The sequence below is a fragment of the Homo sapiens genome, chromosome 11, assembly GCF_000001405.40.
Source record: "Homo sapiens chromosome 11, GRCh38.p14 Primary Assembly".
NCBI classification, from domain to species: Eukaryota; Metazoa; Chordata; class Mammalia; order Primates; family Hominidae; genus Homo; species Homo sapiens.
Genome location: NC_000011.10, coordinates 30,286,403 through 30,311,836, shown reverse-complemented (window position 1 = coordinate 30,311,836; position 25,434 = coordinate 30,286,403). Strand labels below are relative to the sequence as shown.

Here is a 25,434-nt window from a genome sequence, read left to right as displayed (position 1 = left end):
GACATACTTTGTTGAAGAAAATATATCAGTGGCAATGGTATGTGAAAAGATGTTCAATATCATTAATCATTTATAAAATGCAAATTAAAGCCACAATGAGATAGCACTACACATCTATTATATGGCTAAAATTTTTAAAAATAGTTGATAAAATCAAGCACTTAAGAGGAGGTATGGAGCAAATGACATTCTCATACATTTCAGGTGGAAATGCAAAAGGGTACAGCCACTTTGGAAATGCCATTTGACAATCCTTACAAGTTAAACAGATCACTTAGAAATCTCACTCTCAGGCATTTATCAGGGACAAGTTTAAGCACCTACCTAATCAATAATTTGGATCTGAATGCTCATAGCAGCTTTATTCGTAATGATTGAAAAAAAGAAAGAACCAAAGTGTCCATTGAATGATGAATGGATAAAAAAATAATGGTATGTCCATACAATGGAATAACACTCAGCAATGAAAAAAGCTAATCTACTGATAAGCATAACATGTATGAATCTCAGAAGCATTATGCTACAAAAAGAAGCCAGATGGAGTATGTAGTCTTTTACATGATTCCATTTATATGAAATTTTAGAAAAGGCCCAAGTATAGAGATAGAAAGGAGATCAGTCGTTGCCAGGAGCCAAAGAGGATTGACAGCAGTGGTGAATGAGGAAACTTTTGAGATGTTACAAATGTTTTGTATTATCATTGTAGTGATATTCAAATGACTGAATTTATTTGTCAAAACTCATCAATGGTATACTTACAAATTGGTGAATATTACTGTCTATAAGTTGCACTTAAATCACAGTGGCTAGTGAGAGAGAGAGAAAAGGAGAGGTGAGAAAGAGAGTAGAAGCTGACCTACCCCATTCCACAAGTACAAGTGGCCTGCCTACCCACCTGCCTTAAGCAGAGGAAGGGAGGGGAAACTGCTTTGAATGAAAGCTTAAGAGATGTTTAATATTGTGGACTTGGCAGTTCCACTTTCTGAACTGAGACAATGGTTTGTAACTTGAGTGACCACAGAGCCATCGGTTACCTAAACTGAGAAAGTTATGAGGCCCATGAAGTCTCCTTTTCAGTCACAAAGAAAGATTCTCCTCTGAATAACTTTAAAGGGCCATTAAGAGGCAAAAAACAAAGTTGGATCCCATAAATCAAGCTTGTCCAATGTGCTAAGTACATTGACAAGAGAGTATTTCAGAAAGGTAGCCATGAGCGTCAGGATAGGCAGGCAAGGAAACAAAACCAGGGGAGGAGAAAATGACTGGGAGAAAGTGAAGGAAACTAATGAGCAGAGGTTATTAAGATCTTGCTAAATAGGAAAAGTTGCCAATGTGAGTGAACTAAAAGGATAGAGCTTAGTGTCTTTTTAAATATATATCTGCAGGTTTAAGGAACAATTTCATATCATTTTCCCTTTAGATTTTCATCTTTGCAACAAAACTCACTGATGTATTAATATAATCAATCATTTATGTATTCAACAGATATCGTTAAGTGCCAGTACACTGCTAAGCACTTGGATCTTGAGGTAAATAAGTAAAACACAGCCCTGCCCTCCTAGGATTTACAGTTTAGCAGGAAAGGGAAGCCATTAAATATAGTCATGTGCCATGTAACAATGTTTTGGTCAATGACACAGTGTCTATACAGCAGTGGTCCAAAAAGATTATTCCTGTATTTTTGCTGCATCTTTTCTATGTTTAGATGCACAAATACCTACCATTGTGTTATAATTGCCTATAGTATTCAGTACAGTAACATGCTGTACAGGTTTATAGCTTAGAAGCGATAGGCTACAGCATATAGCTTAGGTGTGTAGTAGGCTATATACATTTAGGTTTGTGTAAGTACACTCTGTGATGTTCACACAATGATGAAATTATCTAACAATGCATTTCTCAGAATGTATCCCCATCATTAAGTGATGGATGACTGTAGTTTTGTTTTTAATTATATCCATGAAACCTAGCACATTGCTTATTATGTGCTTAATTTTTGTTGAATTAATAGACATATTTTATAATGTGTGTATGTGTGTGTGTGAATATCAAAACAATCCTTAAAGCTGCGGAAACTTATTTTCTCTGTTGTGTATAGATTAACTTGCAGTTTTCTCAATTAAAGAAAAGTCTCTAGCAATGTTTGGTCTTGTCTCTGTTCTCTGCATGACTTTTGTGAGTCTGAAGGTATAAAGAAAATCCTATTCACCAAAATGTTCATGGCGTTGGAGAACACAGATATGCTTTTGTCAAGTGAGGTCTACATTTTGTTAGGAGAATTAAGCTTCCTATGCATGCTAAGGAAGAAGACATGTAGGAGCACGAGATTTTGGAAAAGTCAGAGCCTACAGGGTCTGGCTGAGAAAAAGAAAGAAGGAAGGTTGGAGCAACAAGATGGCAGATGGCAATGCGCACCACAACGAGATTCTCTTACCTCTGCGACTGCACAGAACCTTAGAATATCTATAAAGAATATAAATGTGATTGGAAATTTTGTGTAAGATGGTGAAGCTTCTAGATATGAGGGGCCACAGGAGCAGGGTAACCTGAATAAATTCAGAAGTGGAGGCAGAAGAAGGAGAAATCATGGTCTAAAAATCATGGGGTAATTTTGGGAGCTTGATGGGCTGAGTCTAAGCAGAGCTACTCATCGCCTTTAACCACATGGAAGTTATCAATAAAAAAAATAACAAAAGACTGACTTGTCATAACATAGATGTCAGTGGGTGCAAGAAAAGGAAAATTAAAGCCAGAGTAATAAACTTACCAGCTGATGCTGTGGAGGCTGAGGGGGCTGGTGACTGGATCTAGCCACTAGGAACTAGGGGCTGTAGCTTTGAAGGTCTCCTGGAGACAAGAGATAAGGCTTTGACTTGTGTGAGGCAGAAAGTTGGACCTGAGACCCCAGCATAAAGGCAGAATCATAGAATTGCTGTCTGTCAGTGAAGGAGGAATTAGAAAAACTAAACACTAAAACTTAAAAAAAAAAACTCCCAGAGAAATCAAAGCTCAAGGTTTTTCCATATTCAACTGTGAAGTCTCAATTGACAGTCTTCCTAGGGTTTTATAATAAACAATAATCCTTCACACCAGTGAAGTTCTGGGGTGTCCGGCAGAAGCAAAACTCTGTATAGCTACACTTCCAACAGTCCAGGGTGATAAAGAACTACCAACAAGAGCTTGGGATTAAAATTTATAAATCATAGAAGAAAATAATTCAGTATGACAGAGAGTAATTAGACATAGTGAAGAGGACTGTTAGAACTTCAAGGACTTGAGAAACTAGAACAATATGAAATGTATTGCAGAATAACTATGCTTAACATAATTAAAGTGATAAAGGAGTAAAAACCACAAGGAAAGGGTAAGATATTATTATATAAGAATATGTGAACTTGAAAAATAGGAAAGAACTCCAAAAAATGATTTTTTTAATTTTTGAAATTAAAAATTCAACGAAAGAGTTAAACAATAGGTAGATCATAGCTAAAATGAGAATTACTGAACTAGAAGACAGAGATGGAAAAGCTAACCAAAATCCAGCAAAGATAAAGAAATGGAAAATAGGGGGAAAATGGTTGAGAAATTGAGGCAGACTAAATGGGTTGAACATGCGTCTAATATAATAAGAGTTGTAGAAGATGAGAAATGAGATTGGAGAAGAGGCAATATCTAAAGAAATTCCCATAATTAAATGTGTCACGGTTATGAGCAGCATATAGTTAAGCTTTGTTTATTTTTTTCAGTCTGACAATCTTTGTTTTTCGATTAGAGTATATATTCTTTTCTTGTGAGTAACATTACATGCTTATTACTGATATATTTGGGTAGATGCTGACCATTATACAATATCTGTTTTTTTGGGGGTCTCATTTGTTGTATGTTGCCTTTTTCTTCCTTTGATGAATTCATCAAATATTTCTATTAATTATCTTTTACCTTTATCATCATGAGAATTATGCATTCCATTAGTGGCTACTGCTGTGCTGTCCAGTACAGTGGCCATTAGGTACATGTGGCTCTTTAAATGTAAATCAATTAAGATAAAAAAGAAAATTCAGTTCTTCATGTCAAGTACTCAATAGCCACATGTGTGCAGTCACTCATGTATTGGATTGCACATACATAGAACATTTCTATCATTGCAGAAAGTTCTGTTAGATAACATTGATTTTGATAATCTGTGGGTCTATTTATATCATCTGGGCTTTATTTTTGTCTTGTTTCTTGGTCTGCCTTTGTAGGGAATAGAAGATTTCTCATCCATCACAAATTCATGGCTGAGTCACTTATAATAAAAGATTAACATGAGAAAATCTTACAAATTTGTCTAATGTAAGTTTTCTATGACACAGGAGCCTTCAGAAATGACGACTCAAAGAAATAGGGAGAACTGTATTTTTATGCTTAGGTTTGCTGAAGAATGAACAGTCACAGAAGTGTGGACAAAAGGGGGTGTGTTCTAAAGGTTACAAGTTGGGGGCGGAGGGCAGACTTAGGAAGGGTTGTTCAGATTCTTCTTGGCATCTTTATCTTTGAGGATAAGAGCATTCCTTTCTTCCAGGTATAGGGAGGGGGTCTATGGAATTAAGGTCTAATGATCTGCTTCAGGGGAAGATCAGCTAGGTTTTTATGGCCTGCTTCAGGGGAGAAGGGGCAAGGGGAGGGTGAGAGTTACCTTATTCCTTTTGCTGTTTTCTCAAATCCAAGGTGCCATATTTTGGTGTATCGTGTCCTGAACCCCATCTCCTTGGCATCTTTTTATTAAATGATGAATATTTTATATGAAAAAATTACATGTGTTCAGATGATTTTGTCTGTCCCCAGAAAGGGTTCACCTTGTTCTCTGTCAGGAAACTACAGTGAGGAAAATACACTTTAATTTAATCAACAACTGAATTAACCTAAGTTGTCTGTGTTACAGTTGTTATGAACTCAAATATACATCTTGTTTAACCTCATTCTTGGGAGCATAGCCTCAGACAGTCTTAACTGAGAGGCTGGGGTATTTATCTTTTATTAAGTCCCCTTCTTTTTAGCTCATTCATATGCTGTAAATTGTCTTTGTCACTGTCAGACTATTGAAAATGATTTTTCCTTTAAGTGGCATTCTGCTTAGATTCTTAGCCGGTTGCTTTGTGTATCTTAAAAATGTAACTGTGGCCAGGCGTGGTGGCTCACGCCTGTAATCCCAGCACTTTGGTAGGCCGAGGCAGGTGGATCACGAGGTCAGGAGATTGAGACCATCCTGGCTAACATGGTGAAACCCCGTCTCTACAAAAAAAAAAAAAAAAAAAATTAGCCAGGTGTGGTTGCAGGCACCTGTAGTCCCAGCTACTCGGGAGGCTGAGGCAGGAGAATGGCGGGAACCCGGTAGGCGGAGCTTGCAGTGAGCAGAGATCGCGCCACTGCACTCCAGCCTGGGCAACACAGCAAGACTCCGTCTCAAAAAAAAAAATGTAACTGTGTGTGTTAGGCTTGTTTCTCCCTCTGTCTTTGCTGCCTTGGCAGCTCTAGACTCCACTTTTTGTGTTTTCCGCCCTGCAAAATTACCAGAAACTCTTTCAGCTACTCTGCTTCTCAGCAATTATGCTCTTCCTTAGATACATAGCCTTTCACACAGCACCAAAAATTAGGAAATTCTCCAAGGGGACTCTTACTGGCTCACATCTTTCTGCTTCACTTCTCTTTAGGATGTTGGGCCTTTAAGTCCTAACTGCCTAATTAGCTCTCAATGCTTTTAAATAGAGATTTTTAAAAATCTCTTTTTTTTCTTTGTGGGAGCTGCTATTGTTTGAATGTATGTGTCACTCCAAAATTCACATGTTGGAACTTAACCCACAAGGTGATGGTCTTAAGAGGTGGGGTACTTGACAAGTGATTATGTCATGAGGGCTCCAGCCTGGTGAATGGGATTAATGTTCTTATAAAAGTGCTGGAGGGAAGTAGCCAGGCCTTTTTTTGCCCATTGCCTTTCACCATGTGAGGATGAAGCAACAAGGTGCCACCTTGAACGTGGAGAGCAAGCCTTCACCAGACGTGGAATCTGTCTGCACCTTGATTTTGAACTTTCCAGCCTCTAAAACATGAGAAATAAAATTCTTTTATTTATAAATTACCCATTCTATGGTATTTTGTTATAGTAGCACAAATGAACTAAGACAGAAGCATCATTGGTTTGCTCCAAGTTATGCTGTTATATAATAGCTGGGAATAGAAGCCCTTCCACTTCATTTCCAGTCATGGTTAATTCTGGTTCAAGCTACCAATATTGACAGGAGAGTCATTTTATTATTACCAATGTTTCTGTGTAGTTACATCTTTTTTTCTGTGGCATCAATATGACTACTACTATGCTTGTATCTGTAAATCCTCAACGAAATATTGGGAATGTGTTGGATAAATTCATATGATTTAATGAACCTTATTTTGGGCAAACTTCTGAGAGCTATAATAACAGGTAACATTTATCAACCACCTATCACATGCCTTGTGTGTTGGATATAAGTTGCTTCTAATTATTAACAATAATTCTGCACCATATATATTATTGCCCTAACTTTACTGATAAGAAAGCCAAGGCTAAGAATAGTTAGATAACTTCCCTTTGGAGAGGATCCAGGGTTGACTAACTTTAAAGTATTCATAGCCATTTTCCACCTATTCTTGAGAAGGTACCAAAACCTTAGGAATACTCTGTTCTTCACATCCCCTCAAGCTTAGCTGCAGACTCATTTGCTGTAATTCAATTCAGCTTTCTAGGTGATATCCCAAAGGAATAAAAATAGAAATAGTGACAACAGGCCATGCTTATTGCACTGAGAGGCTCTAAAATCATTTTAATGAGCTAAACCTACTAGTATTAGTAATAGTCTAGTGACCACCAGCTTGTTGTCTGCTTCAGGCAAAGTTTAGTTGGCTGGGCAAAAATAGGAAAATCACAGATGAGGACTTTTTCATTTAAATAAATTAGCAATGCCATAGCATTCATTATCTAGAGTAGCTATTTTTAGCTCAGAGTACCCTGCAGAGAAGATGCCAGACAGAATCTTCTGTCTTACTTGCTGGCTTGGAAGAAAGTCCTCTGACCCCAACACTGAAAGGAAGACAGGATCTGAAAACCACTCATCTCCCTCCCTAGTTCCTTGCTGAAGTGCGCATTCTGAACTACCCATCACTGCTTGTGACTTTGTACTCCCTAGTCTCCTTCTACAGTGGCCTACATATTTATTCCATTCTTTGCCATGTCTTATTCTAATCTGAAATAGAGTGATGAGAACCTAAATTATGATGGTGGATATCCTGCAGTGCCTAAGTCAGATCTTAGCAAAGTGATAGTTGAGGAATAATTCTAATTCAATGAGAGCCACAAGGTTTGTTTGAGACTGTAACTTCATCTAGAAACATCTAGAAAGTGAGAGTCCAGATATTACAAATAAGAAATAAATTGAATCATACAAATGGCTTGTTTTGATATATTCACAGTTCAGAGAATGATGCAAAACATTTTTTTCCTGTCGCCATGGGGTCATCTTTCACTCCAAAATGAGTAATAATCAGATAGTCACCAAGAAATACTTTCTTTCTTTTTAGTCTGTTACTCTCTGTTCTTTTATTGCCTCTGTTTTTTCACATTTCTATCCTCTGTTAGGTTCTGGTACATTTTGCTACCCCAGGAAACCTATGCCACATTTCATGTTTGGATGGCAATGGTGAATTCCTATTTTCTTAAATGGACCATGTATAGAGCAAAAAAATTTTCCTTTGCATCATAAGGCAGCCTTAGAGCATTAACATAGTTGCATTTTTATGAGAGAAGGACTCTGCATCAGAGATGAGAATGGAAAGTGACAGAGTAAAGGAGATAGAGACCCCTATGCTCCAGAATTATTAATGAAGAGAGCAAGATGGCATGACTAATGGGAGGAGATTTGAAGAAGTGTTTTCTTTTTATGTTACAAATGTGAATTGCTCTACAACTCTAGGGCTTTAATTCATTTATTTATTCATTCCAAAATATTTATTAATTATATACTCTGTATCAGGAACTACATCAGACACAAATAGGTAAATATTTGGTAAATAAACAAGATGGGACTCCTGCATTGGCTAATATACAACCTAATTGGGAAGGCAGACAGCCAACGTGTTAAAAACAAACAGTAAAAAGTGCAAAGAAGAAAAGGTGAGGGGTATGGTCATAGGGATTATGTGCAGTGTGGTGTGTGCATGAATTAGTTATATATAAAAATAAAAGTCATAGATAGCATTTAAAGTTGTAGAAATTTACAAGATCAACAAGGGAAAGAAGACACAGAGATAAGAAAAGAGATTCCTAAACTAAGCCCTTAAGAAGCAAACTTTTTCTTTTGTCTGAATAAGGCTAAATCTGGTTTTATCCACGAAGATTGCTTGAAAGTTTGTTATCAGACATTTTACTTCACAGCCTCCTTCCCCTTGCTTGGGTTTTACAAGGACCCTGGGGACTTAGAAGGTCCTTAAAGGCAGACACAACAGTTCATTTGAGGTTAATCATTCCAGTGTATGGTTTGTTTCCACTGTACCAAATTTAACCAGATGGACCCTCACTTAGACTTCAAGGAGTGTAGCGCTTCTTCCCTAATTATGGCCTTCTACAGTTCTTTCACTACACAGGCAGTTTAGGTGGGATCAGTCCTCACACCCATGGCAAGCAGGTGTATATTAGAGAATCAATAACTATCAACCTGTCAGATAACACTAGAAAGCCTCCAATTCTTCTCTTCTTTCCAAATATTTGGTTCTCCAAATGGACCTAGGCCTTTGAAGCACAAAGACCTATTCAGAGCTGTCTTCAATGGTGGTGGTTCTCTGCCTAGCAACTCACCCTTCTGGCTCCAAAACACAATATCATTGTTTATTTTTTTCTAAACTTAAAAACAGCCCATGCCTTAGAAGTCAAGACCGAACTACCTTCCTGGGTGGTGGAATTAATGATATCTTTTCTTTCTTTCTTATGAATATAGAGTAGCCAGAAACAAGACAAAATTATTCTTTCTTTCTTACTGATGTAGAGTAGCCAGAAACAAAATAAAATCTATTATCTTGTAATCTGCCACTTTAGGTGGCAGAATATATTTTAAATGAGCTTAACGTTAAAATACACAATGCATTACTGGTGGGAATAGAAAGTAGTACAATATTTCTGGAAATTAAGCTAATAGTATAAGTGTGACTATACCTTGTGAGCCAGCAATACCATTTCTGGGTGTGTATTACATGGAAAACTTCCCACATGTGGATCTATAAGGATATTCATCACTGTTAGTATTCAAAGGTAACCTAGGTGGTCATCACTAGGGAAATTGATATGTAAAATATGAGGGACACATACTGTAGAAATTGATGCTGCAGAGAATGTAGCATTAGAAGCAACTGAGTAGATCTATATATAGCCACATGGATAGATCTGAAAATATAGTGATAAATGGGAAAAATACATAAATTAAAAAACAAGCACAAAACACATTTTATAGGCTGTATAATTATAGTCAGGACCTCAATTAAAATGCTAAACTGGCTATCTAGTTGGATGGATAATGGGAAATGTGTTCATCTAGGATGAAGGGAGAAAATAATTAATAAAATAAAAGAAGGAACCTGTAAAGACTGAGCATGATAATCTTCCATGAATTAAGTAGTATATAATACTTATTTTCTTTGTGCCTGGGGGAACAAACCAGCTTCAAACATCAAAAACGATAACCCAAATTCTTAGAAGAAAAGAAGTTCCATTTTCTTTCATTTTTTAAACTTTTATTTTAGGTTCAGGGGAACATGTGCAGGTTTGTTATATAGGAAAATTGCATGCCACAGGGGTTTGTTGCACAGATTATTTCATCACCCAGGTAATAAGCATAGTACCTGATAGGTGGTTTTTCAATCTTCACCCTCCTCCCACTCTCCACCCTCAAGTAGGCCTGGATTATCTGTTGTTCTCTGTGTCCATGTATACTCAATGATTAGCTCCCACTTGTAAGTGAGAATATGTATTTGGTTTTCTGTTCCTGTGTTAGTTTGCTTATGACAATGTTCTCCAGCACCATCCATACTGCTGCAAAGGATATAATCACATTATTTTTTAAAGGCTACATAGTATTCCATGGTGTATACGTATCACATTTTCTATATCTAGTCCATCATTGATGGGCATTTGGGTTGGTTCCATGTCTTTGCTATTGTTAATAGTGCTGTATGTATGTATGTCTTTGTGGTAGAGTGATTTATATTCCTTTGGTTATAGACCCAATAATGGGATTCCTGGGTCAAATGGAAATTTTGTTTTAAGTTCTTTGAGAAATTGCCAAACTGCTTTCCATAATGGGTTCACTAACTTACTTTCCCATCAACAGTGTATAAGTGTTCCCTTTTCTCCATAACCTCGCCAGCATCTGTTAGTTTTTAACTTTTTGATAATAGATATTCTGACTAATGTTAGATGGTATCTCATTGTGGTTTTGATTTGGATTTATTTAATGATTAGTGATGTTGAGCATTTTTTCATATGCTTCTTGGCTGCCTGTATGTCTTCTTTTAAAAATGTCTGTTCATGTCCTTTGCCCACTTTTTAATGGGGTTATGTTTGTTTTTTGCTTGTTAATTTGTTTAAGTTTCTTATAGATTCTGGATATTAGTTCTTTGTTGGACGCATAGATTGCAAATATTCTCTGCCATTCTGTAGGCTATCTGTTTAGCTTGTTGGTAGTTTCTTTTGCTCTACAGAGTTCTTCAGCAAACTTGCAAACTTTTGCTTTTGTCACAATTGCTTTTGGCATCTTCATCATGAAATCTTTGCCAGGTCCCATGTCCAGAATGATAATTCCTAAGTTATCTTCCATGGGTTTTATACTTTTAGGTTTTACATTTAAATCTTTAATACACTTTGAATTGATTTTTTATGTGTTTCAAAGGAGTGGTCCAATTTAAATCTTCTGCATATGGCTAGCAAGTAATCTCAGCACCATTTATTGAATAGGGAGTCCTTTCCCCATTGCCATTGCTTGTTTTGGTTGACTTTGTCAACAATTAGATGGTTGTAGGTATGTGGCATTATTTTTAGGCTCTCTATTCTGTTCCGTTGGTCTATGTGTCTATTTTGTACCAGTTCCATGCTTTTTTGGTTACTGTAGCCTTATACTATAGTTTGAAGACAAGTAATGTGATACCTCCAGCTTTGTTCTTTTTGCTGATGTTTGCCTTAGCTATTTGGGCTCTTTTTTTGATTTTATATGAATTTTAAAATAGTATTTTTTTTGGAATTCTGAGAAGAATTCCATTGGTAGTTTGATAGGAATAGCATTGAATCTGTAAATTGCTTTGGGCAGTATGGCCATTTTAACAATATTAATTCTTCCTATCCATGAGTTTGAAATGTTTTTTCATTTGTTTGTGTAATCTCTAATTTCTTTCACTAGTGTTTTGTAATTCTCCTTGTAGAGATCTTTCACCTCCCTGATTAGCTGTATTCCTAGGTATTCTTTTTTCTTTTTGTGGATATTGTGAACAGGGTTAAGTTTCTGATTTGGTTTACAGCTTGGATGTTGTTGGTGTATAGGAATGCTACTAAATTTGTACATTGATTTTGTGTCCTGAAACTTTGCTAAAATTGTTTATCTGCTTAAGGAACTTTTGGGCAAAGACTGGGGTTTTCTAAGTATAAAATTTCATCTGCAAGCAGAAATAGTTTGACATCCTCTCTTACTGTTTGGGTGCCCTTTATTTCTTTCTCTTGCCTAATTGCTCTGGCTAGGACTTCCAGTACTATGTTGAATAGGAGTGGTAATAGAGGGCACCCTTGTTGTCTTGTTTCAGTTTTCAAGGGGAATGCTTCCAGCTTTTGTCCATTCAGTATGATGTTGGCTGTGGGCTTGGTATAGATGGCTCTTATTATTTTGAAGTATGTTCCTTCCTTCAAGGAACATACTTCCTTGAAGTTTGTTGAGGGCTTTTTTCTTTTTTAACATGAAGAGATGCTGAATTTTATTAAAAGCCTTTTCTGCACCTATTGAGATGATCGTGTGTTTTTTTGTTTTTAGCTTAGTTTAGGTGGTGAATCACATTTATTGATTTGTGTATGTTGAATCAACCTTACATCCCAGGGATAAAGCCTACCTGATTGTGGTGGATTAGCTTTTTGATATGCTGCTGGATTCAGTTTGCTAGTACTTTGTTGAGTATTTTTGTATCTAAAGTTAGTCAAGAATCCAGGTCAAGAATAATGGCCTGGAGTTTTCCTTTTTGGCCATATTTCTGCCAGGTTTTGGTATCAGGATGATGGTGGCCTCATAGAATGAGTTAGGAGTCCCTTCTCAATTTTTGAAATAGCTTCAGTAGAAATGGTACCAACTCTTATTTATACATCTGGTAGAATTCAACTGTGAATTTGTCTGGTCCTGGGCCTTTTCTGGTTGATAGGCTTTTTATTACTGATTGAATTTTGAAACTTGTTATTGATCTGTTCAGGGATTCAATTTCTTCCTGGTTCAGTCTTGGGAGATTATATGTTTACAGGAATTTATTCATTTCATGCAGATTTTCTAACTTGTTTGTATAATGGTATGCATAGTAATCTGTGAGGGTTTTTTTTTGTATTTCTGTGGGTTTGGTGATCACAACCCCTTTGTCATTTCTGATTGTGTTTATTTGGATCTTCTCTTTTTTATTAGCCTAGCTAGTGATCTATCTTATTTATTCTTTCAAAAAATTAACTTAAGGATTCATTGATTTTTTTGTATTTTTAGGGGGAGGGTCTCGATTTCCTTCAGTTCTACTCTAATTTTGGTGTTTTTCTGTCTTCTGCTAGTTCTGTGGTTGGTTTGCTCTTGTTTCTCTAGTTCCTTTAGGTGTGACAATAAGTTGTTAATTTGAGATTTTTCTAACTTTTTGATGTGGGCATTTAGTGCTGTAAAATTCCCTCTTAACATGCTTTAGTTGTGTCCCAGAGAATCTTTGTTCTCATTAATTTGAAAGAATTTCTTGATTTCTACCTTAATTTTGTTGTTTACCCAAAGTCATTCAGGAGTAGGTTGTTTAATTTTTATGTAATTGATTTTGAGTGATATTCTTAGCATTGATTTCTATTTTAATTGCTCTGTGGTCCCAGAGTGTGGTTGGTATAATTTCATTTTTTTTAGATTTGCTGAGGAGTGTTTAATGGCCAGTTGGGTGGTTGATTTTAGAGTATTGCCATGTGCATATAAGAAGAATGTATATTCTGTTGTTTTAGGGTGGAGAGTTTTGTAGATATGTATTAGGTCTATTTAATCAAGTGTTGAGTTCAAGTCCTGAATATCCTAGTTACTTCTCTGCCTTGATTATCTGTCTAATACTGTCAGTGGCTATTGAAATCTCCCACTATTATTGTGTGGTTATCTAAGTCTCTCTGTAGGCCTCTAAGAACTTGTTTCATTAATCTGGGTGCTTCTGTGTTGGGTGTATACATATATTTAGAATAGGTAAGTCTTCCTGTTAAATTGAACTCTTTACCATTATGTAATGCCCTCCTTTGTATTTTTTGATCTTTGTTGGTTTGCAGTCTGTTTTGTCTGAAATTAGAATAGTAACTCCTGCTCTTTTTTGTTTTCTGTTTGCTTGGTAGATTTTACTCCATCTCTTTACTTTGAGCCTATGGGTGTCATTGCATGTGAGATGGGCCTCTTGAAGACAGCATACCATTGGATCTTGCTTCTTTATCCAACTTGCTACTCTGTGCCTTTTAATTGGGACAGTTAGCCCATTTATATTCAAGGTTAATATTGATATGTGCAGATTTGATCCTGTTATCGTGTTGTTAGCTGGTTATTATGCAGACATGTTTGTGTGGTTACTTTATAGTATCAAAGGTCTGTGTACTTTAGTGTGTTTCTGTAGTGGCCAGTAACAGTCTTTCCTTTTCATATTTAGTGCTTCCTTCGGGACCTCTTGTAAGACAGGTCTGGTGGTAACAATTCCCTTAGCATTTGCTAGTCTGAAAAGAATCTTAATTAGTTTGGCTGGATATGAAATTCTTGTCTGGATGTTTTGTTTTGTTTTTTGAGATGGAGTTTTGCTCTTTGTTGCCTAGGCTGGAGTACAGTGGCACGATCTCGGCTCACTGCAACCTCCACTTCCGGGGTTCAAACAATTCTCCTGTCTCAGCCTCCAGAATAGCTGGGATTACAGGCACCCACCACCACGGCTGGCTAATTTTTATATTTTTAGTAGAGATGGAGTTATCCCTGTTGGCTGGGCTGGTCTCAAACTCCTGACCTCAGGTGATCCACCCACCTTGGCTTCCCAAAGTGCTGGGATTTACAGATGTGAGCCACCACACCCGGCCTGGAAATTTTTTTTTTTTTCAAGAATGCTGAGGGCCAGGTGGGGTGGCTCATACCTGTAATCCCAGCACTTTGGGAGGCTGAGGCAGGCGGATCACCTGAGGTCAGGAGTTCGAGACCAGCCTGCCCAACATGGTGAAACCTTGTCTCTACTGAAAATAGAAGAATTAGCTGAGTGTGATGGCATGTGCCTATAATCCCAGCTACTCGGGAGGCTGAGGCAGGAGAATTGCTTGAACCCAGGAGGCGGAGGTTGCAGTGAGCTGAGATCATGCTGCTGCACTCCAACCTGGGTGATAGAGCAAGACTCTATCTCAAAAAAGAAGAATGCTGAACACAGGCTCCCATTCTCTTCTGGCTTGTAGAGTTTCTGTTGAAATATCCACTCTTAGCCTGATGGGGTTGCCTTTGTAGGTGACCTGCCCCTTCTCTCTAGCTGCCTTTAATATTTTCTCTTTCATTTTGGCCTTGGAGAAACTGATGACTCTGTGTCTTGAGGATAGTCATCTGTGTACTGTCTCATAAGGGTTTTCTGCATTTCTTGAGTTTGAATGTTGGCTTCTCTAGCAAGGTTGGGGAAATTTTCATGGATGATATCCTGAAATACGTTTTCCAAGTCATTTGCTTTCTCTCTTTGTATTTCAGGGATGCTAATGAATAGTAGATTTGGTCTCTTTACATAATCTCACATTTCTTGGATGTTTTGTTCATTCTTCTTTGTCTTTATTTTTGTCCTACGGAATTATCTCAGATAACTGGTCTTTTAGTTCTGAGATTCTTTCATCAGCTTGGTCAATTCTGCTGTTAATACTTGAGATTTTATTCTAAAATTCTTGGAGTTTTTCAGGTTTATCAGATTAATTTTGTTCTTTCTTAAAATGGCCATTTTGTCTTTCATCTCCTGTATTGTTTTATTGTATTCCTTAGAGTCCTTGGATTAGGTTTCGACTTCCTCCTGAATCTCTTGATGATCTTCATTTCTAACCATATTCTGAATTATATTTTGGTCATTTCTGCTATTTCATACTGGTTAAGAACCATTACTGGAGAACTAGTGTAGTTGTTTGGAGGTAAGAAGAAACTCTGGCTTTTGGAATCGCCAAAGTTCTTGTCCTCGTTCTTTCTCATCTGTGTGGATAGATGTTCCTTTAATGTTTGAAGTTGCTGTCCTGTGGATGTTTTTTTTTTTTCTATTATCTCCTTTGATGTCCTTGGGGGTTTCATTGTGATATAAGGTTTGTACAGTCTACTGGCTTCATTTTAAAAAGATTTTAGGGGGTCAAGGCTCAGCTTAGCACTCTTGGGCTATGTGTTCTAATTCTGGGTAGCTGGTATAGGGCCACTGGCTTTGTTCTCTGGTCCCTTGAGGTTAGGAACTTGTTGTGCTGAAGGGACTGAGGTATTCCCAGACCACTGACACAACACTCTGATGGATGATACCAGCCAAAGTGCTTTGTCAGGGCAGTTACAGCAGGATCTGTGCTGTGCCATCAGTGGCAGTGCAGTGGGGTAAATGCTTATCAGCTGGGATACGGTGCTGGTGGGCACCAGTCTGCTTCTCCCTAGGTGTGCATTCACAGTGCATCAGTGACAACCTGGAGCAGGGGAGCAAGGCCACTGGCATCAGTGTGGATGTTTGCACTGGTGGTGGTTGGTGTGGGGTTGGGGTGCTGGTGGATGCAGAACTGCTGGCCTCTATGTAGGGCAATTTTGCCAGTGGTAGTGGTGATGCAGTTCAGGGAAGGGGGTGGGGTGTGGGACCACCGGCCTTTGTTTGCAAGTTGATGCTGGCAGTGGTGATGTGGGGGTGGGGTATGCTCATGCCAGCAGCAGTGGTGCATTGGGGTGCACTGCATGCCAGCTGGGAAAGGGAGGCAAGGTCTACCCACATGTAAACAAAGAAGGGGGTGCAGCTGTGGGTAAGTGCGTACTGGCAGAGCAGCTCAGGAGAGGCTGTGATGGTGGGAGAGTGAGGGTGGGTTGGTACATGTCTATCTGCAGGGTCCACTCTTCTGGAGCTCTCCCCCATGGTCAGTTGCAGTCGGCCGTTGATGGACCTAGGAGGCAGGACCCTAGGAGGCACCATGGTTGGGCATCCGAGGCTGCACTGCAAATGGGTGTGGTCAGGCTGGGGCCCAGGAAGAGGCCAGCAGACAGGCCAGTGCTTAGATCTGACTGGCCCCGTCTCGTGGGCAAGACCACCCTGCTTTGTTTGAGTTGGACAACTCCCCTAGGCTAAAGTCTCCTAGAGGAGCATAGCGAGCATTGGGAGATTGGCATCCCTGACCATGCTCCACTGCAGATGGTCTTGCACCAAACCCTCTGGGCTCTGCACATGCAGGAGCTGTGTCCCTACCACCTCTCTAAGCAGCTCTCTCTGCCAGCTCAGGTGTCTATGGGTATCATGGGGCCTCCTGCTGCCAGGATTCCAGAGGTCCATGGTAAGTATGAGTTGTTCCTCACCTTTTCAACTTACTCCTTCCCCAGTAGTCATTGGGGGCCAGGAATGAATCCTGATGCATGGTAGCCCTGTGTGGTGTGCCCCGCTTACTTCCCTTCTGTAGAAGTTATATTTTCTAATCTTAATACACAGGAGAAATTCTGTGGCCATGTTCCTTAGATGAGAGCTATATTATTTTGGGTTTAATCACATTTAAGTTTATTGGCAAGCCTTGAATTCTGAGAAAGTATACTAGAGTGGTTTGTTCAGAGATATGCATTATGCATTAGCAGGTATTTTATAAAAATCAACTTTGTTGATATATAATTTACATGCAATAAATTTTATCTACTTTTAAGTTCAATGGATCTAGACAAATGTATTCATCTTTGTAATAGCCTCCCCGACTGGGATGTTGAACATCTTTGTTATCCCCAGACAATTTTCTTAAGGTTTTTGCCAGGCAATCTTCCACTCCAATTTGCAGCCCAGACAACAATCACTATACATCAGTTTCACCTATCTTCGAATTTTATATAAATTGAAACATGCAGTATGATTTTTGTCTGCCTTCCTTGGCTTAGTATAATGTTTTTGAGAGTCATAGATATTGACTCTCGAATTGTATGTATCAGTAGTTTATAGCTTTTTACTGTTTAGTAGTATGTCATTTTATGGAAATGCCATAATTTGTTAATCCTGATGTAACCTGTTGATTTATAATTAAGTTGTTTGTAGCTTTTGGCTACTATAAATAAATCTTTAAAAATGTTTTTATGCAAGCCTTTATGCTGATATATGTTTATAAATTTATTTTTGTATTTGATGTTAAATAGAGATTATTATTGATTATTACGACTATGATTATTTTGCATCTGGATATTCAAATTTTCCAACATCATTTGTTGAAAAGACTATTTTTTCCCCATTGCATTACCTTGAGATATTTGTTTAAAACAGTTGTCTTTTAACAATATACCTATTTTTGTTCCACTGATCTGTAAGTAGTATACTATCCTTATTAATGTAGTTTTGGAATAAGTCTTCATATTAACTGTGCAAGCCCTCTAACATTGTTTCTTATTTTTAAAATTGTTTTTACTATTCCGGCTCTTTTGCATTTCTGTATCAATTTTAGGATTCCCTTGTCAATTTCTCCAAAAATCTTCCTGTAACTTTGCTTGGTATTGGTTTGAATCTATGTGTCTATAAAGAATTGATATCTTAAAAATATTAAATCCCCCAACCACCAACATGGTATATTTCTCTATATACATTTTCTTTAATTTCTCTCAACATTGTTTTACAGTTTCAGTGTCCAAATTTTGCTTATATTTCTTTCTTTCTGTTTTTTTTTTTTTTTTTTTTTTTTTTTTTGAGACAGAGTTTTGCACTTTCACCTAGGCTGGAGTGAAGTGGCATGATCTCGGCTCACTGCAACCTCTGCCCCCCAGGTTCAAGTGATTCTCCTACCTCAGCCTCCTGAGTAGCTGGTATTATAGGCACCCGCCACCACGCCCGGCTAGTTGTTGTATTTTTAGTAGAGATGGGGTTTTGCCACGTTGGCCCATATTTCTATTACCTAAGTAATTTGTATTTTATTGATATTTTCATAAGGTATATATTTTATTAAATTTCTTTTTAAAGTTATTTTATTTTTAGCATATAGAACTATAATTGATTTTTGTATCTTGACTTTGCATCCTGCACTCTTGCTAAATTCACTCATTAGTTCTAGTAGTTTTCTGTGCATTCTGTAGAATTTTCTTTTTATGTAGTAATGTCTATCTATAAGGACAGTTTACTTGCTTGCAATTGTTTTCTTGCCAATTATACTAGCTAGGAAACTTAATTAATTATGATATTACATAGAAGGTGACTTAGTTTCTTCCTGATCTTAGGGGCAGCATGCTTATTTATTCTGCATTAAGAATTATGTAGCAGTAGGGTTTGTAGTAAATGTTGACAAAGGTTATTATTACTATTATTTTGCATATGGATATTCAATTTTCCAGCATCATTTGTTGAAAAGACTATCCTTTCCCCATTTCATTATGTTGAGATATTTGTTTAAAACAATCATGTTTTCTGCTTTGTTCTCTTGCCTTCTTTCTGGTGGTCTGCCTCACAAATTTCAGCTGTTTAGCCTCCCAAACTGTGATCTCCACCTCAAAGGTTTTGTAGACGAGTCTTCCCTGCTTGGCTTACGCTTTTCCACTTTGTGATCCAGACAGTTCCTTAGGGTAGAAACTGGGGGTAAACAAAGGGATCACAGTCCTACACTACCTGTTGTCTAGACTCTGAAAACACTTCTTTCACAAGTTTTGTTTGCTTATATTGAAATACCTAGTCCAGCATCAGTTACTCTGTCAGGACCAGAAGAGGATGGTTTTTCTTTCCTGGAAGTCTATAGTCATCTTCTCTTAGGCCAGAATTACTTAGATTTTCATATTAATTCCTGAACCAATGACCAGCAAGTGGCATGAGATTACCATTTTTGGTGCAATCTAACAGTAATCAGAGTCCACTCATGTGGTTGAGGATGGCAAAGGCCACATTATATTTATTTATTTATTTATTTATTTATTTATTTATTTATTTTTGAGGCAGGGTCTTGCTTTATCACCCAGGCTGGAGTGCAGTGGTGCAATCTCGGCTAACTGCAACCTCCACCTCCCGGGTTCAAGCGATTCTCATGCCTCAGTCTCCTGGGTAGCTGGGACTACAGGAGCGCATCACCACTCTGAGCTAATTTTTGCATTATTTTGTAGAGATGGGATTTCGCCATGTTGGCCAGGCTAGGCTCGAACTCCTGACCTCAAGTGATCCACCCCCCTTGGCCTTTCAAAGTGCTGGGATTACAGGAAGGAACCACTGTGCCCAGCCAAAGGCCAAACTTTAAAAAGAGTGCTTAGCAAAGGGATACAAGGGAACTTTTTTGGGCAAGTTAAAAATTTTGTATCTTGGTGATAGTACTGAATACACGACTTTATATTTTCAAAACTCATCAAATTGTAAACTTAAAATTGATACATTTTATTGTAGTTAAATTATACCCTAATAAAGCCATTTGAAAAAGCAATAAATTATCACCTGCTTTGGTTGTATATGCAGAAAACTGTATTTTAAAAGGTACAGATATCAATAGAAAAAAAGAGCCTGAGCCCCAGTCTCTCAGCCTCACTGTGAGCCTTATACAAGGTAATGTTTTAACTATCGAATGCCTAGCAGCCGAAAATACTCTAGAGAGATTAGCTTCCTAGGCCAGAAGCCTTGAGGGCTTTTTTTCTTGCATTCTGTCTCTTATTTTTTTTTCGTTACCGTCATCTCTTAGGTAGGCAACTTCTTTCTCTCTCATACCCCACTTGAAGAGAAAGTGCTTTCCTCTCTCTTTAATGGAATGGCCTCTTTTTTTCTTATAGGAGTCCATCCTCCTTAGCCTCTCCTAATAGCCTGCAGACTTAAACAATACAGTGCAGTGTCTTAGTTTATCTTCCTAGAGAAATAGTCCTTTCTTTCATATCAGAAGTGTCTTACCTTGTTTTACTCGGGATCATTGGTGAAAGAAGTCCATTATAACTTTGAAGTTACTGCTGTGTAGTGGACTGATTGCCTGCAGCGCATCAGCTCCTCTTTTTCCTGCTTAGTAGAACTCTGAATGTGTTCCAGTATCTACTATACTTTCATGTAGCCTATGTGACTCAAGAGAAATTGACCTTTTTCCATGTAATATGAGCTCAATAAATCTTTGTTGAATAAATTGCGTTTATTAAACTTTATTTTAACTTTTCATTTGATCTCCTGTTTCCCCAAGTGTGATATGGTTTGGATGTTTATCACCTCCAAATCTCATGTTGAAATGTGATTCTTATTGTTGGAGGTAGGGCCTGGTGGAAGGTGATTAGATCATGGCAGTGGATCCTTCATGTACAGTTTAGCACTATCCCCTTGGTGATGATGGAGATCTCATTCAGTTCATGCGAGATCTGGTTGTTTAGAAGTCTGGGATCCCTCTACCCGACCCTGCTCCCTTGCTCCCACTCTTGCCATGACATGCTTTCTCTCCCTTTGCCCTCTGCCGTGATCGGAAGCCTCCAGCATCACCAGGAGCTGATGCTGGATCCATGCTTGTACAGCCTGCAGAACTCTAAGCCAATTATTTTTTTTTCTTTATAAATTGCCCAGTCCCAGATATTCCTTTATAGCAATGCAAGAATGGCCTAACGCACTTAAGATTGTCTTATTTATTAGGTACTGTTAACATAGTGTGTAAAGCCAAGAGGCAGAGACTCTGAAGGTGTAAGAGACTCCCCTCCCCTCAAAAAAACCCAAAACCAGAAATGAGGCTTTGTGTTCATAGCATTGGTTAGGTTGTGCTGCAATCACAATTATTTCCCAGGTGTTGGCGACTTTAAAAAGGCTTTATTTCTAGCTTATGTTACATGTTCCTTGCAGGTTAATGATGAAAGGTTGGGGGTTCTGGGCTTCAATAAGCCACTTAAGAATCCAGGCTGATAGAACCTCTGCCATGTCTTATTTGCACCATCTAGAAAACACAGCCTTCCTGATTGCCAAGGCAATTGGGGAAGAGAGAGCCTGAAGATTGGGCATGGACTTTTCTCTGCCTCACTATTTACCTTTCACTGGGCAGGACTAATTATGTAGCTTTTCAGCTGGAACATGTAGCTTTCTATTTGCTCAGAGGAGAGGAGGGCTAGTGATTGGTGGATATTATTTTATCTACCAAAAGTTCTAAAATATAAAAATAAAACTGAAAATTCAAGTTAATAATTCAAATTAATAAAAACCCAAAATAAAAATAAAGAAAATCCACACTAATAGTTAATTAAATGTTACTTCATCATTAAATGGGGGCATACATAAATATTTCACTGCATTCAAAAAGTGTCTTTCTTAATTTCCAAAACCTCAGTATGTGTAATGCTATTAAATCATAATCATAAATTATATGTTACTTATATCCAATGATGTCAAACACAAAATTGAAAAACATTTATAACTTTTTCTGCTACTTTAAAAATGTTTAATATGATGTGTGGTATGGCCTCCAAAATTAAAACAACCAAAGAAAGTATTTTAATGCTGTTAGTAGGCAGTAAGCGCCATGAAGGCATAATCTTTTTCTTTTGTTAGTTATTCCTGGGGTCTGGCACAATTTCTGACATGGTGGAGAAGCTCATCAATATTTGTTAATACAGAAGGAGCAGGATTGAAAAAAAATACTTGTCAAACTACTGAACAAAACCATAAAATAATTTAGTCTTCACTTTCGAGGAAAGTATAATCCTAGTGAAGAAACTGATGAGTTCAATACATTTCTGTAAATGTTAGCAGTCAAAGTCCCAGTAGAAAAAAGCTGGCAAACACAAATTGAATAGTTTGAAGAGAATTTAATGAAGATGTGGACAGGTCTGAGGTGGGGAGGAAAGGAAGTAGTTCCTGGAAAGAGGGCCACTTACAGCAAAAGTGACTTTGGGTTGAGGGACACAGCCAGCCTGCAGACATTTTCCAAGTCAGATAGAAAATGTAGGTGGAAAATTCTATGCCAGGCAGAGGGAATAAGATTTTACATGGCAAGGAGGGGTGAAAACACCAAATGTACTGAATTGATGGTGAAGTGCAGCATCAGAAGTAGGCAGAGGTGACTGGGTACAGTGGCTCACACCTGTAATCCCAGCACTTTGAGAGACTGAAGCGGGCAGATCACTTGATGTCAGGAGTTCAAGACCAGCCTGGGCAGCATAGTGAAACCCTGTCTCTACTGAACATACAGAAATTAGCTGGTCACGGTGGTGCGCATCTGTAATCCCAGCTACTTGAAAGGTTGAGGCAGGGGAATCGCTTAAACGTGGGAGGTGGAGGTTGCAGTGAGCTGGGATTATGCCACTGCACTCCAGCTTGGGCAACAGGGTGAGACTCCACCTCAAAACAAAACAAAACAAAGAAGTAGGCAGAACCAGAAGGTCCTGGAGTAGAGTGGAGAAGCAGATAGGAGCTGTAATGTGAAGCATCTTTGGAAACAGATGTCCCCCTGTAGGTATGGCCTATTGACTGATTAGGAAACCAAACCCTTCAAAACATTCCTGAACAATGTAAACTTCTCCCTAGTGAAAACAAAAATATAACTACAGGGGCTGGTGCCAGGGAGATTTTACAGGTTGCCTTTTACCTTTTTCCTCAAAATATGGTTCAAAAGTATTTTTTCCTCAGTCCAATTTCAAAAATTCCCTCCTCATAAATTGAGAGTCTGAGCCAGGAATATGTCTGAATGTAGCCCTTGCTTTGTGATGGCAGGAGAATGTCTGGGTTGAGTGTAGCTAATAAAAGATCTACCTGGAGAAGAAAGTAGAGGAAGAAACAGAAGGAGTCTGAGAGATGAATCTTGAGTCCCTGGATCCAATATCCTGGAACGAGAACTGCAATTTATCATGGTCCCACCCATTTTCCAGAGTTGCCTTGGCTCACGGTGCCCGGCCTTAGTTTAAGGCTCTGATTCAGTCACTGTGGTTTGTTAGGTGGGGCTTCCCAAGAGGTGATGCTGCTTGTCTGTGGCTTCCACTCCAGCCAGGTTCAGACAATTGCCAGTCCCATCAGTAGGTGCAACGGCAGTAGTAGGAAGTTTATGAGTTTGCTCCCTAGTATCCGTCCAAAGGCCAGGAAGCTGAATGCAAGCATCCTAGACATGAGTGGGTCGTAGGAGGGTAGATGTGTAGACAAGCTTACTTGCATTTGCTCTTTTTAGTGCCTGCAAACTTCAGCTCCCTACTGGTCTTGCATTGTTGGGCTGTCCATATCAGTCCCACTTCTGTCTTCCAGAGCCTTTCTAGTTCTCCCGTATTCCTGCTTGTCTGCTACATGGCAGATTCCCAGCTTATTCACTGTTCAGCCCTATCATGGTTACTACTTGGAAAGTCTTCTTTGGTTCAACAAAACTACCATAGGCCAGACTTGAAATAAGCTTCACCTAGAAGAGGATAGCCAGGAAAAATAGCATGCCAGGAGGGCAGTCAAATGTTTCTCTTTGGTGGGAGAAATCTTCACAGCAATACATACGGTCTTCCAGGAGCCAGCCGTTTTTGTTCCATACCCACATCCCAAGTTTTAGCTCAGTTGTGAAGAGAGGAGATCCAACTGGGTAAGTACTGTATTCAACCTAGCTTCAAGGCCTTGTGTCATAAATATGACTTGGTATCATACATTACTTTCTTAGGCACAGTTTCCAGGATTCTTGCAAGGAACATGTTTGATTACAAGAACTATCACTTTCAGAGAAGTCTGAAGATGTGTATTCCAATAAAGTATTTATAGTTCATACACATAGCTTCCACTCCAGATGTTATTGGGTATGAATCAGGGATTTTTTTTTCTTTCTTTTCTTTTTCTTTCTTTCTTTTTTTTTTTTTTTTTAACTAAAAGCACGTTGCTTGGTAACAGAGTTGCTCTTCTGCCTTTATTAGGTTTCCAGGGGAACAGTGTTAAATGTTAACCCAAGGTCATTCTGGAAAAAGAGAAAGGGTATTATTAACCATGTATCCATAGAAGGTTTCACTGATAGAATGTCATTTGAGAAAAGACTTGAAGGAGGAAAGGGAGTTAGCCATGGGGCTATCTGAGAAAACTCTCTAGGCAGAAGGAACAATCAGTTTAAGTACCCGAGGTGGAGGCATATCTGCAAAGGGTGAGGAATACCAGAGATGTCAGTGCCTCTGGAGTAGAGTCAATGAGAAGAGTGGTAGGAGCTGGTGAGAGGTAAGTGGTGAGGATGCAGGCTAAGTAGTGCTTCTTAGGACATTGTAAAAGACTGGATATTTCTTTGAGTAAAATAGAAAGATATTGGAGAGTTTTGAAAAGAAGAGTGATGAAATCAGCCTGATATTTTAAAAGGACCATTCTAGCTATCGTGTTGAAAATAGATTGTACCAAAGGGTGGAAGCATGATGACTTGTAGAAGGCTGTTGTAATAATTTCATATGGGCAGTGGCTTGGATTCCTATAGTAGCAGTTGAAGTGAAGGGAAACTAGTCACTTTTTAAATATATTATAGACAAAGCATGTAGTTCAGCTATGCATTCTCTATCAAATACAACTTTTAAAGCTTATTCAGTTATCTGTATACATGAATGTAGTGCATAAAGAATGACAGCAGTGCATCCTGAGAAATTGGGAAAGATGGCCAGTAAACAATCAGGATTTGAGAGTGAAGCAAAAATAGTAAACCCATACTGCCCAAACTGAGATATGAAAATCACTGAGAGCTTCATTGTCATATGAAAGGTCAATGCTGGTGTCTCCAAGTGTATAGAAAGTTGATTATGTTTCTCTGATGAAAATTATGGCCAAACCCAGGTATTTACTTTTCCTCTCAAGCCTAGGAGTTAGAGTCCAGGCTGGGCAACATAGTGAGGCTCCGTCTTAAAAATAATAATAATTATCATGATAATAATATCAAACAAACTACAAACTACCTTCTCCTAACTCCCAGTATTCTCAACCCCACTTCCCTATTTTTCTCCATAGCTCTGATCACTATCTGATATATTCTGTATTTTCCTTGTTAATTTATTGTCTGTAAATAGAAATGTAAGTTACTTGATGACAAGTAGTTTTGTCTGTTTTGTT

General features: G+C 38.3%; 1 long non-coding RNA gene across 7 annotated transcripts in view, besides 1 other annotated feature; it reads left to right on the top strand.

Annotated features, from left to right (window-relative positions):
• Positions 1-25,434, top strand: part of ARL14EP-DT (ARL14EP divergent transcript) — a 279,977-nt gene that overhangs the window by 11,110 nt on the left and 243,433 nt on the right. The gene's annotated exons all lie outside the window — the stretch shown is intronic.
• Positions 794-963: a silencer, noted in NCBI's record as "silent region_3213". NCBI's record gives its function as "represses an Ori minimal core promoter by ATAC-STARR-seq in GM12878 lymphoblastoid cells {active_cell/tissue: GM12878}" and the evidence as "EXISTENCE:reporter gene assay evidence [ECO:0000049][PMID:35858748]".